At 44.7% G+C, this 13,912-nt stretch overlaps 1 long non-coding RNA gene across 1 annotated transcript in view; it reads right to left on the minus strand.

Moving 5' to 3' along the window:
• Nucleotides 1-13,912, minus strand: part of LOC107984132 (uncharacterized) — a 44,250-nt gene that overhangs the window by 476 nt on the left and 29,862 nt on the right. The window lies entirely within an intron of this gene.

The raw sequence follows: 13,912 nt of genomic DNA on the forward strand, positions 1-13,912 counted from the left end.
GGTTTGTATGTACCATGCCTACTACTGTGCCTGGCACATAGCTCGTGCCTGTAAGGATAGTTCACTGCTTGTCATAGTTATCATCACCATCACCATCGTCATCACCATCACTGCCACCATCGTCATCACCATCACTGCCACCACCATCATCACTATCATCACCATTACCATCAATCACTATCACCATCATAATCGCCATCATCACCATCATTACTATCATCGCCATCATCACCATCGCCATTTCTATCACCATCATCACCATAACCATTTGTATCACCATCATCACCATCACCATCATCACTATCACCATCACCACTACAATCATAACTATCACCATCATCACCATCACCATTATCGGCTGTCATCATCGCCATCATCATCACTATCACCATCACCACCATCATCATTACCATCACCATCACTATCATTACCATCATCATCCTCACCATCATCACTTTTTTCTGCTGGGCTGATGGACCATGACCCTAGCTTTCATTTCTGGCGGGGAGTAGCTGAGAAAGCACAAAACTCCACAGAAAACAGAGAATCTGCTTGGAAAGAATGCTGGCATCTCTTCTCTCTTCCCAAGTGTGCCATGTCCACTCCTCCAAGACCATGAGCTGAATGGACCCCAGCTCAGCCCCTTCCTGTCTTTAAAGAGAGGTTGGAGGGGCTGGGCAGCCTCTGTCCGGCTGGGCTGTGCCCCCACGTCACCCAAAGTTTCTTCCTCCCTAGCCATGATGCCTTCATTTGTACCTTCTCTATGCTTCTCTTCAGCAGGAGGGGGAGCCAGAGGGAACAGAAGTTAGCTGGGAACAAAAGCCAGAGGGGAAACAGAAGTCACTGGGATATAGAAGCCAAGGGAGAAATGAAGCCAGGCCAGTAGGAAGGAGGGGAGCCTCACCACCCTCCATGTCTGCCCCGGGGACACTGCTCCAGGAATCTGGAAAATGCCCTGCTGCTGCGAGAGGAAGTGAGGTCCACCCGGTGCTGCTTAAAGAGCCTGTGCTGCTTTTACTTCTCGATTTGTCACAATCCACAAAACAAGTGGGTAATGAGCCTGTAAGCCAATGTCACTCACTCTAGAGGGATGTGGCCATGCTCTGAGGTAGAGGGCAAGCCCTGACACCATGTGCCTCTCCCCTCAGCGGCCTCGGGGCAGGTAACTCAGTGCCTTCCTTCATCCAGAAAGGGGACAATGCACCACCTACTCCACAGGAACTCGTGAGAATGAAACAGCAAGAAAGGGATGTGTAGAGGCAAAAGCACCAGGTCCACCCAGCAGTCAGGAGGAGAGGGACCAGCCCAGGAGCTGACAACCCATACAGACTTCTGGTCTGAAAATGTGGGCCAGGTGTGGTGGCTCATGCCTGTAATCTTAGTGCTTTGGGATGCTAAGGTGGTATCCTTGGTATTTGAGCCTAGGAGTTTGAAGCCAGCCTGGGCAACACAGTAAGACTCTGTCTCTATAAAAAGTACAAAAATTAGCCAGGAATGGTAGCACATGCCTGTAATCCCAGCTACTCAGGAGGCTGAGGCAGGAGGTTCGAGGAGTTCCTTGCTTAAGCCTAGGTGTTCAAGGCTGCAGTAACTATGATTGCTCTACTGCACTCCAGTCTGGGAGATAGGGTGAGACCCTGTCTCAAGGAAAAAAAAAAGAAAAGAAAATCAGAACCTCAATCCCCACCGGCACCTACTGAGTCAGAATCTGTTCCTAAAGACAAGCCAGGCCTGGGTGCCACTGCAGCACAGCCTGTTTAGGGCCCTTGGCCAACCCTAAGTGCCCTGTCACTAATTACCCAGGGTTCTCCATGACCCATCAGGGCTATAACTTCTGTTACAGGGGCCACAGAATCCCATCTAGAGGAGCAGCCCAAATGTGTGGCTCAAGTCCCAGAGCTGCCTTCCTGCAGGCGTCTTTGCATGCGGCCACGAAGTCTGTGCTGAGGTGCTAGCTTTGACTCGCTTCTCTGGGAATTCACTTCTTCTACATTTCTAGATTATATTTGCTCAAAGAAAACGCCAAGCCTGAGCGATGGGAATCATGTATGGATCAGAGCCACCTGAACTGTGGAGGTAAGTCACTTATCCTTCACGAGCCCTGGTTACTCAGCTCTCAGGCAAAGTGCTTTGCCAGGCACATCTCAATAGCCCCAGACAGCTGAATTTCTATAATCAGGAAGCCTAAGGGCCTGGCACCAGCTGTGCCTGCTTATAGAGGAAGTGGGGAAGCCCTGGAGCTCCTATCAGCACCATCATTCCACGTGAAGGGTGCAATTAAAGTCCCCCATCTGTGAGCAAACAAGAGCATGTCAGGGATGGCTATGGCATGGGCCTCAGAGGAGAACTGGCCCTCCTCACAAGCCCACAGAGACACTGGTGGGTGGGGGACACCCCTCCCGGGGCCCTGCAAGAGTCTGCTGCAGCCAACGTTGTAGGTACAAACATCAAAACAATTCAGGACAATACCATAGCTGCCCATTGTTCTGAAAAACATCAAGACCCAAAATAAATGCTTGCTTGCAAATGAGTCGTACCTACCTAAGGGAAACCTCCAACTACTTCTGAAATGCATGTGAAGGATGTAGTAAACAATATGAAAATTCATTTTCCAAATCACAAGATGAAAATGTATCTGTCTGACTAGTGATTTAACTTTAAGTGAACAGTTTATATAAAAGGCCACACAAACTGCTTTTTACCACATGAGAAGCTGTGCAATGTCACTTGTAGTAAGAAACAGAACCTACAACTGCAATAAGATTTCTCACCTATCCGGCTGGCGAAGGTCAAAAGTCTGGGGCATGCCTCACATGTTCCTGCTGATATAGACCAACAGGCATTTTCTCATATTCTTGGCAAAAACACACATTAGTAAAAACTTCTTGGGTAGGAGCTGTTGGTATTTTAGACACAGACACCTGTTACACGTCCTCTCCCCACAGATATGTAGGTGATGTGTATTCACTACAGCAGCCAATAGATTCAAGTCAAGCTAAGTGTCCATTCTTGGGAGACTGAGAGGAATATTCTGGCGTGCCAACAAGGACAAATCCTGTATTTGCTGATTTGGAACAATTTCCAGGATGTATATTGTTCAGCAAAGAGCACAAGTTGCAGAAGAGTATAGAGACACATCTTTTTGTGTGTGTCGAAGACTGAAGGAAATCCATAAACATGTCCCGTCTGTAATCAGAATGTTCTGAAGAGACACATAGGTCCCCGATTCCAGTGGCCATCTCTGGAGAGGCCACAATTTGGTGGCTGTGCTCGGCAGGGACAGAGGCTTCTCACTGGAGACAAATTTTTGACTACTGAATATTTTCCTATGTATATATATTGCTACCCATCAAGAACTGTAAAGAATATTTTTAATCCTGGTGAGGCACAGCCACTCATACGTATAATCCCAGCACTTTGGGAAGCTGAGGCTGGAAGACGGCTTGAGTCCAGGAGTTCAGGATCAGCCTGGGCAACAATGCAAGACTCCATCTCTTCAAAAAATAAAAACAAAAAACAGCCAGGCATGGTAGCATACGCCTGCAGTCCTAGCTACTCTGGAGGCTGAGGTGGGAGGATTACTTGAGCCCAGGTGTTCAAAGCTACATTAAGCTATGACCACACCACTGCACTCCATCCTGGGTGACAGAGCAAGACCCTATATTAAAAAATAAAAGGAGTATTTTTAATCCCACAAACTGCTTTGATTCAAATAAGAGTTACTGTAGTTTAAAATTTTATACCTGACTTTAAAAAGAATACTTTTTTTTTTTTGAGACAGAATTTTGCTCTTGTTGCCCAGGCTGGAGTGCAATGGCACAATCTCGGCTCATTGCAACCTCCACCTACCGGATTCAAGTGATTCTCCTCCCTCAGCCTCCTGAGTAGCTGGGATTACAGGCACGCACCACCACGCCCAGCTAATTTTGTATTTTTAGTAGAGATGGGGTTTCACCATGTCAGTCAGGCTGGTCTCAAACTCCTGACCTCAGGTGATCCACCCACCTCAGCTTCCCAAAGTGCTGTGATTACAGGTGTGAGCCACCACGCCCAGCCAAGAATACTCTTCTGACTCTGAAAAATAAATCTGGGTAGAAGGCAAGTCAAAAAAAGGGATGATATGTACAGAACCTCCAGAGAAAATTGCTAGAAGCAGGCAAGAACTTGAGGCTGTCACAGTATCCAAAAGAAGACTGAACAGAAACCCATCCTGCCCAATCTTCTGATCTGTGAAACAAGGACAGGAAAGCCAGGAATGGAGACTGAGCTTGCCACAGCACTTTCAATCCTTCAACAATCACTGCCTGGCACTGCTGCAGGAGACCCAATACACAGGGAGAAGTCTTCTCTAAGACCATCCCAGGGAAATGTAGTCCCAGGGACTAAAACAAAAGAGGCCCCAGAAATCACATTTATCCAAATAGGAAGCAGGGATGCAAGTGTATACAGATATTCCAGGTGACCTCCTCTGGATGGTAGTGTACGAGAGAACAGTCTTCTTGTTTTCCAACTTTTATACTAAAAGAACATTATAAAGTATAATAAAAGCAAAAAAAAAAAAAAAAACCACACAGTCTGAAAAGACAAAGCAAACATGAGAATCAGACCCAGAGATGGCAGGGATGGTGCAATGATCAGAACAGGAATTTATTATTAATATGCTAAAGTCTCTAATAAAGAAAATAGCCTGCAAAAATACATAGCCGATGTAAGCTGAGAGATTGAGACACTAAGAAAGAATCAAAAGGAATTGCTAGAAATCAAAAACACTGTAATAGAACTGAAGAATGCCTTTGATGGGCTCGTCAATAGACTGGGCACGGCCAAGGAAAGAATCAGAGAGCCTGAAGATATGCCAATAGAAACTTCCCAAACTGAAACTTAAAGACAAAAAGGAACAGTGACAAAACAATATTCAAGAACTATGGGTTAATTACAAAAGGTGTAATAACATGTAATAGGAATACCAGAAGGAGAAGAAAAACAGGAAGGAACAGAGAATATAACTGAAATAATATCAGCTGAGAATTTTCAAAAATTAATAACAGGAAGCAAACCACAGATCCAGGAAGTTCAAAAAATACCAAGCAGCATATAAGCCCCCCCCAAAAAAAATCTACACTTAGACATACCACATCCAAACCACACACAAAAAATCAAACACAAAAAGAATATATTAAAAAAAAGTCAGGGAGGTCACAGGCACGGTGGCTCATGCCTGTAATCCCAGCACATTGGGAGGCCAACGCAGGCAGATCACGAGGTCAGGAGTTCAAGACCAGCCTGGCCAACATGGTGAAATCCTGTCTCTACAAAAAATACAAGAATTAGCTGGCCGTTGTGGCACTTGCCTGTAATCCCAGCTACTTGGGAGGCTAAGGCAGAATTGCCTGAACCCAGGAGGCAGACATTGCAGTGAGCTAAGATCGCGCCACTGCACTCTACATTGGGTGACAGAGAAGACTCTCTCAAAAAAAAAAAAAAAAAAAGAAAAGAAAAAAAAGAAAAAAGTCAGGGAATGGGCTAAAAACACCTTATCCACAGAGAAGGACAGAATTGCACTGAACTCCTCAGACGTCATGCAAGCAAGAAGAGTGTGCAGTAAAACATTTAAAGTGTTGAAAGAAAAAACCAACCCACCAACCTAGAATTCTGTATCCAGCAAAATTATCCTCCAGAAGTGAAGGAGAAATAGTCTTTATCAGACAAAAAACAATTCAGAAAATCTGTCACCAGTAAATCTGCCTTGCAAGAAATATTAAAAGAACTTCAGAGAAAAGGAAAATGATATAGGTCAGAAACTAGAATCTGCAGAAAGAAAAAAAAAGAGTATTAGGGAAGTAACAAGTGAGGATAAAATAAAAACTTTTTTCTTATTCTTGATCTAGCAGACAAGTTTGTTCACAATAATAATAGCAACAATGTACTTCATGACTAGAGTTTATGAATAAGTGAATAACAATAATATTCTAAGGCATGGGAGGGAACAATTAGAAATACTGTTTCTTGCTCTACCCATAGAGTGCTATATTATTTGAAAGAGGACTTGGATTAGTCATAAACCTATACTGCATATTTAAAAACAACCATTGAAAAAAGGTTTTTAAGAAAGCATTATTGATATGCTGAAAGGAGAAAAAATGAGATCATATAAAATGCTCAAGTAAAACCAGAGAAGGCATAAAAAAGAGAAGACAAAAAGCAAAAAACAAAACAAATAACAGGGGCAATTAACAGAACAGTTAACAAATATGGTATATATTAATCCACCTACACAAATAACCACTTTAAATATCAATGGTCCTAAATATAACAACTAAAAAGCAGACACTGTTAGAGTGGATTAAAAAAAAAAAAACAAGGTCCAACTCAAGGTTCAACTGTGGTGTCTAACAGAAACCCACTTAAAATATAAAGACACAGACAAACTAAAAGTAACAGGATAAAACAACTCTATGCCCACAAATTCAGTAACTTAGATGAAACAGACCAATTCCTCAAAAGATATGCTCTGTCAAAACTCACACATGAAGAAACAGAAATCTTAATAGGTCTGTATCTATTAAAGAAACTGAATAAATAATCACCTTCCAAAACAGCAGCAGGCTCAGATAGAACCCACTGATGAATTCCACCAACATTAAAGGGATAAAGTGTATCAACTTTCTGTCTCTTTCAGATGACAGAAGCATAGGCCAGCATTACCCTAATACCAAAACCAAACACATCACAAGAAAAAAAAAAACACATTAGTATTTCTCACACAAAAAGCCCCCCCAAAACCAGCAAATCAAAGCCAACAATGTATACAAATAAGAATTATTATTATCATCATCATTATTATGAGACAGTGTCTCAATCTATTGCCCAGGCTAGAGTATAGTGGCACAATCATAGCCCACTGCAACCTCAAACTCCTGGGCTCAAGCAATCCTCTCACCTCAGCCTCCTTAGTAGCTAGGATTACAGGGTTACTTGAAGCTTTCCCACTGAAATCAGGAAAAAGGCAAGGATGTCCCTCTCACCACTGCTTTCCAACACTGTCCTGGAAGTCCTAGCTAATACAATAAGGTAACACAAGACAAGTAAAGAACTCCTGAACTAATAATCCATCTTCCTTCCTTCCCTTCTTCCTTTCCTTTCTTTCCTTCTTTCTTCTCTCTCTCTCTCTCTGCCTCTCTCTCTCATCTCTTTCTCTCTCTACATTACATGCTTCTATGGTCTGATTAATAAGCAATTATATAGCAAGGATGCAGGAATACAAGGTTGATATACAAAAGTCAACTGCTTTCTTATTTACCAGAAATGAATACTTGGAATTTGAAATTAAAAACATGGTATCATTTACATTGCAAATGAAATAATTAGATCTAAATGTAACAAAATATGTAGATCTTTATGAGGGAAACCAGAAAACCCTAATGAAAGAAGTCAAAGAACTAAATAAATGGAGAGATATTCCATGTTCATGGATAGGCAGACTCAGTATTGCCAGGATGCCAGTTCTTCTCAATTTCATCTATAAATTTAACACAATCCTAATCAAAATCCCAGGCCAGGCAGAGTGGCTCACACTTGTAATGCCAGCACTTTGAGAGGCCAAGGTGGGAAGATCACTTGAGTTCAGGAGTTCTAGATCAGCCTGGACAACATGGTGAAACCCTCTCCCTACCAAAAAGAAAAAAAAAAATTGCCAGGCATGTTGGTGCATGCCTGTAGTCCCAGCTACTGGGGAGGCTGAAGTGGGAGGATCACTTGAGCCCAGGAGGTAAAGGTTGCAGTAAGCCAGGTCACACCACTGCACTCCAGCCTGGACGACAGAGAGAAACCCTGTCTCAAAAAAACAAAAAACAACACCAACAACAAAAATAACCTACCAAGTTATTTTTTGGATACTGACAAATTGATTCTGAATTTTACATGGAGAAGGAAAGGACTCATAATAGCCAACACAACAGTGAAAGAGAAAAATAAAGTCAGAGGACTGACACTACATGACTTTGAGGCCTCCTATAAAGGTACAGTAATCAAGACAGTATGGTGCTGGTGAAACAATAGACTTTAACATTAGGTATATCTCCTAATGCTATCCCTCCCCCCTCCCCCCATGTATACATATGTAACTAACCTGCACATTGTGCACATGTACCCTAAAACTTAAAGTATAATTTAAAAAAAATAGACTTTAATGGGACAGATTAATGGGACAGAATACAGAGCCAGAAACAGGCCCACACAAATACAGTCAACCAACCTTAGAAAAAGGAACAAAAGCAATACAATGGAGACAAGATAGTCTTATCAACAAATGGTGCTCTAACAGTTAGACATCCAAATGCCAAAAAAAGAGAAAATGAATCAACACAGATCTTACTCATTTCACAAAAAATAACTTTTAAATCATAGACCTAAATGTAAAATGCAAAATCATGAATCTCCTAGAAGATTACAGGAGAAAATCTAGATGGCCTTGGGTTTGATAATGAACTTTTACATGCAACACCAAACACACAATCCATGAAAGAAAAAATTGGTAAGCTGGACTTCATTAAAATTGAAAATTTCTGCTGTGCAAAACACACTGTTAAGAGGATAAAAAAGACAAGCCACAGACTGGGAGACAATATTTTCAAAATATGTTCTGTTAAAGGACTGTTATCCAAAGTATGCAAAGAACTCAACAAGAAAACAACCCAATCACAAATAGGGCCAAATAAACAAACATCTCACTAAAGAAGATACACGAATAGCAAATAAGTACATGAAAAGATGTTCCACATTACAGCTCATCAGGGAAATGCAGATTAAAACAACAATGAGCTCCCATTACACACCTATTATGTAAGGCCAAAATCCAGAACACAGACACCACCAAATGCTGGCAACGATGTAGAAGAACAGGAACTCTCATTTATTCCTGGTGGGGATGCAAAATGGTACAGCTACTATGGAAGACAGTTTGATGATTTCTTATAAAACTAAACAGGCTGGGCATGGTGGCGCCCAGCCTGTAATCCCAGCACTTTGCGAAGCTGAGGCAGGTGGATTGCTTGAGCTCAGGGGTTCAAGCCCAAGACCAGCCTGGGCAACATGGTAAAACCCCACCTCTACAAACAATAAAAAAATTAGCTGAGCATGGTGGCATGAGCTTGTAGTCCCAGCTACTTACTTAGGAGGCTGAGGTGGGAAGATGGCTTGAGCCCAGGAGGTGGAGGCTGCAGTGAGCTGAGATCATGCCACTGCACTACTGCCTGGGTGACAGAGCCAGACCCTGTCTCAAAAACAAACAAACAAACAAAAACCCAGAAACTTAAACATACTCTTACCAAATGATCCAACAATCACCACACTCCTTGGTATGCACCCAAAAGAGCTGAAAACGTGTCTACACGGAAAAACCTGCACAAGGATGTTTATGGCAGCTTTATTCATAATTGCCAAAACTTGGAAGCAACCAAGATGCCCTTCAGTAGGTGAATGGATAAATAAACTGTGGTACATCCAGACAATGAAATACTACTCAGTGCTAAAAAGAACTATCAGGTCATGAAAAGACATGAAGAATCTTAAATGCATATGACTAAGTGAAAGAAGCCCATCTGAAAAGTCTACATACTGTGTAATTTCAACTCCATGACATTCTGCAAAAGGCAAAGCTATGGAGACAGCAAAAAGATCAGTGGTTGTAAGAGGTTGGGAGTAGGGGGAGGGATGAACTGGCAGAGCACAGAGGACTTTAGATGAAACTATTCCGTATTACATTGCAATGGTGGATCCATTGCAATGATGGATATGACATTCTAATGGTTCGACATTACAGTAAAAAACCCGTAAAAGCCCAGTTGCCCCGGCTCATGCCTGTAATCCCAGCATTTTTGGAGACCGAGGTGAGAGGATTGCTTGAGTCCAGCAGTTAGAGGTGACAGTGAGCTATAATCACACCACTGCACTCCAGGCAGCGCAACAGAGTGAGACCCTGTTTCAAAAAATGTATAAAGTAAAATAAACATACAATACAAGGAGTAAATCCTAGTGTAAATTACAGACTTTGTCAATGACTATCGAAAGTGGCTCATCAATCACAATAAATACACTGCATTCATGCAAGATGTTATGAATGGGGAAATGGGGGGAGGAGTTATGTGGGAACTCGATCTTTTCACTTAGTCTTACTGTAAATCTAAAATTGTTCTAAAAATTAAGTCTATTAAAAATAAATCACATAGAAGAAGTTCTGTGTGTATATCTACAAGCTTCTTAAAGATCTGGGGGAAATGGGGGGTCATCAGTGGACATGGGTGGAAATGCTAAGACATAAAGTGGGGAACTACCCAGATGGAAAATCTCATGAACGAAATGCTAAAGGCTCAGAATTCAATGATTCTCTCTCAGGTGCTACTTAAAATAAGAATGAGCATGCAAATGGAGGAGGACTAGAATATAAGAAATTCTGTTTATTGGGTAAGGAGATCATGATCCATGCTGCTATGGAATCTCAGAATCCTCTACGAATGTAAAGAAGTCTCGCTAAATTTAACAGCAAGGCCTCCTGCCCCTGCCAGAGCCCATTCCTCCTCCAAGACTCCTTGGCACCCAGAATTGGAGAGCCAACTCACCCACTTGGTCCTTGGCACCTGCACTGTGCCACCCCTGCCCAGACATCAGCCCCACAGGCCCCTTCCCTACCACATGCCAACCTCTCTTTCCCATCTCGGAGGAGCGTCCCCTTCTTGGAATCCCCTCTGTGCCTCCCTGCGCTTCCCCATCTGTTTCCAGGGTTAAAAACTGGGACTCTGCCCAACTCAGCAGAGATGTTCACTGTGACAGTCCAGGAGAGGCCAGTGAACACAGACTGCCCACTCCTGACTCCAGCCATAGGCTGCTGGGGCCAGAACAAGGCTTCAGGCTGGGGGATCCAGAGGTGGCCAAGCAGAGCCAGCCCCCGGGGCTCAGACTGAAGGTGAGCATTTAAGGTGAATGCACTGTATCAGGGCACACAGCACCCTATGGGCATGCCATGGGAGACAGGAATGCCTCTGGGGGGAGGCCATGCTGGGGCTGGTCCTGACAGATGAATGAGGCTTCCCCAGGCAGGTTAGCTGCGCAGGTGAGGGGTGCTACCAGGCAAAGGAAGGTGAATGTGCACCTTGAGGTGGCTCTGGCAGTGATGTAGGGTAGCGCCCAACAAGTCCTGACAGCAAGTTGAGGTCACATCCCCCTTGAATCTGCAGGTGATGAGGGTATCCCAGGCCCCATGAGGTCTGCACTGTGGGTGAAATGTTCCACAACTGGACTTAAGCAGGGAGAGGCTAGCGGCAGAGATCAACAACAGTGGGTACCGAGGCGAGGGCTGGCCCAGAGGGGAACGGTGACCCCAGCAGTGTGGCCTGTGGGAGTCCAGAGCCAGCAGTACTTTGGGAAACCCATGAGCTTCTCAAAAATAACCACAACAACACAGACCGTGTCCATTGCTTGTCAACGCCCTGCACTCTGTCGCTGGAAACGCCAGCCTTCCCTGCCGTAGACACTCACAGCTGAGTCGGGGTCGGGGGGCGGTGTGCAGCCACTGGCCTCTCCTGGGCCATCAGAGTGCCTCTGACCCTGGGACCTTTTCTCAGACTGGGATCACAGAAAGCAAGGTTGGCCTTTGTTCCTCCTGTCCACATGGCCTACTGAGGCAGAACCCAGCCCTCGGCACCAACATGGAATGCACGAGATTCATGGCATGAACGTGATCATCCAGCCCAGCCACCTCTGCAGCCCTGGGGCCCTGAGAGGAAAGGGCAGACCTGGACATCCACTCCATTTCTCAGCCCCCACCTCTGCACCCCCCTCCCCGCCCCCGCCCCAGTCCAAGCAACTCAGCGGTTTCCTTGCTTCACAGCACTCACTTCTGCCCTGGTGCACCCTGAGACCCCTGGGTAGGGCTCCCAGCCTCAGGCTCTGGAAGAGCTAGAAGGTTCCATTCTTCATGCTGGCCTCACCAGACTGCCCAGAGGCTAGAACACACCTAAGCGACCCTTTGAGGGGCAACATCACAATGAATGAACCACAAAACTTGACTACAATCCTTTGACCAAATAACCTCACTCCTGGCAATCTGCCCCCAAGAGTGTGTCCAAAGAATCTAAAAAGATGCTTCTGGCATTTCTCATACACCCAGGGTCCCAGGTGGCACAGACATCCACCCAGCTAGGACCCAAGCATAACCATGAGCTTGCTGAGAGAGAAAAAAAGAAAACATTCAAAACAGGGAACTGAACATTCACACACACTAGAAAAAAATGATCAAAGTTGATAAAAACCTCCAGGAGGCTGGGCAGGGTGGCTCAGGTCTGTAATTCCAGCACTTTGGGAAGCCAAGGCAGGTAGATTGCCTGAGCTCAGGAGTTCAAGACCAGCCTGGTCAACACAGTAAAACCCTGTCTCTACTAAAATACAAAAAATGAACCGGGCGTGGTGGCGTGCACCTGTAATCCCAGCTACTCAGGAGGCTGAGATGGAAGAATTGCTTGAACCTGGGAGGTGGAGGTTGCAATGAGCCGAGATCACACCATTGCACTCCAGTCTGGGTGACAAGAGCAGGACTCTTGTCTCAAAAAACAAAACAAAATAAACAAACATACAACAACAACAAAAAAACAAGAAAAAAGAATCTCTAAGAATGAAAAGTGACTTTAAAATTTAAAACTCAATGAACAATTTAAACAGCAAATTGAACACTTTTGCTTGATAGTTCCACCATCTTCAGAGAACTGGTGAACTGGAAAAGAGATCTGAAGAAATGACCCAGGCTGGGACACAGAGAAGCAGGTAGACGGCGAGAAAGCCCAGTTAGGAGCCACCGGGATGGAAGGAGGAGGACAGGTGAAAAAGAGCTCCAGAGGAGGAGGACAGATGGCCGTGTGATGGTGTGGAACTGACAAAAGGCTGGCCACCCCCACCCCACCAACACACCCCTATCCTTGGGTGTGAGCTCCCCATGAGAAAACTTGCACGCTCACCGGGCTCCCTTCCATTTCCACAAGCCACAAAGCCTCCTCCCATTGCTTGTCACCCTCATCAGCGACCCTGGCTGCTCTGCCCCGAGAGCTCCAGGAAACTAATGAGCCACTGATTCCTTCAGGGACAGGGGTGCCTGAGCACAAGCCCTCAGCACCAAAGCGGAATCCACGAGATTCAGAGGGGCTCTGCACACACCTTCCCAAGACCTTGCTGAGGCCCTCCCTGCACACTGAGCTGCCCCCTGGCCATCCCTGAGACCATGGAGACACCCTCGCAGCAATGGGCCAGCTTGGGAGTGCCAATCATCCTGCCCAGCACACACTGAGCCCACCCAAAATGCCAATCCAAAACGTTGGCCTAAGTCCATCACTGGCTAATTCCTCCTCTATTTATCAAATAAAGACATTGAAGGGAAAAAAAGGCTAGGCCCACTTAGGTGTGTTTTCCACCTGTCACAGCCTATTTGCAAACTTAGCACTACTGCAGTGTCTGATATTTTCCCTCTCAAGCCCGAACCAACCTTAACTATTTTACAAAGTTATGCTACTTATAATGTCCCTTTCTGACACAACTGCCACTGGGGGCCCTCAAGATGCTTCCACCCTGGGCTGGGGTCCCTGGCTGCATATGTGTAGACAGCCAAAGCTGGGTGGGTCTCGGCCAGTCTGCATGGTTTCAGTAGAAACACACTTGAACACAAACAGCCAGGGAAAGGAAGGATAATTTGCCTTTTTTTCTCCTAGGGCATATAAGTACTCATAGGACAAAGTCATTTATGCCTATTAATAAAAACTGCAGAAAGAAACCCTTACACCACAATAGCACATCAGAAGGCTATTCAGCTATTGCAGGAGAATTTTTCATTCTCTGAAGTCACCCTTGACATTTATAAATCCAGAAATGCAAA

The sequence above is a fragment of the Homo sapiens genome, chromosome 13 (assembly GCF_000001405.40).
Source record: "Homo sapiens chromosome 13, GRCh38.p14 Primary Assembly".
Lineage (NCBI taxonomy): Eukaryota > Metazoa > Chordata > Mammalia > Primates > Hominidae > Homo > Homo sapiens.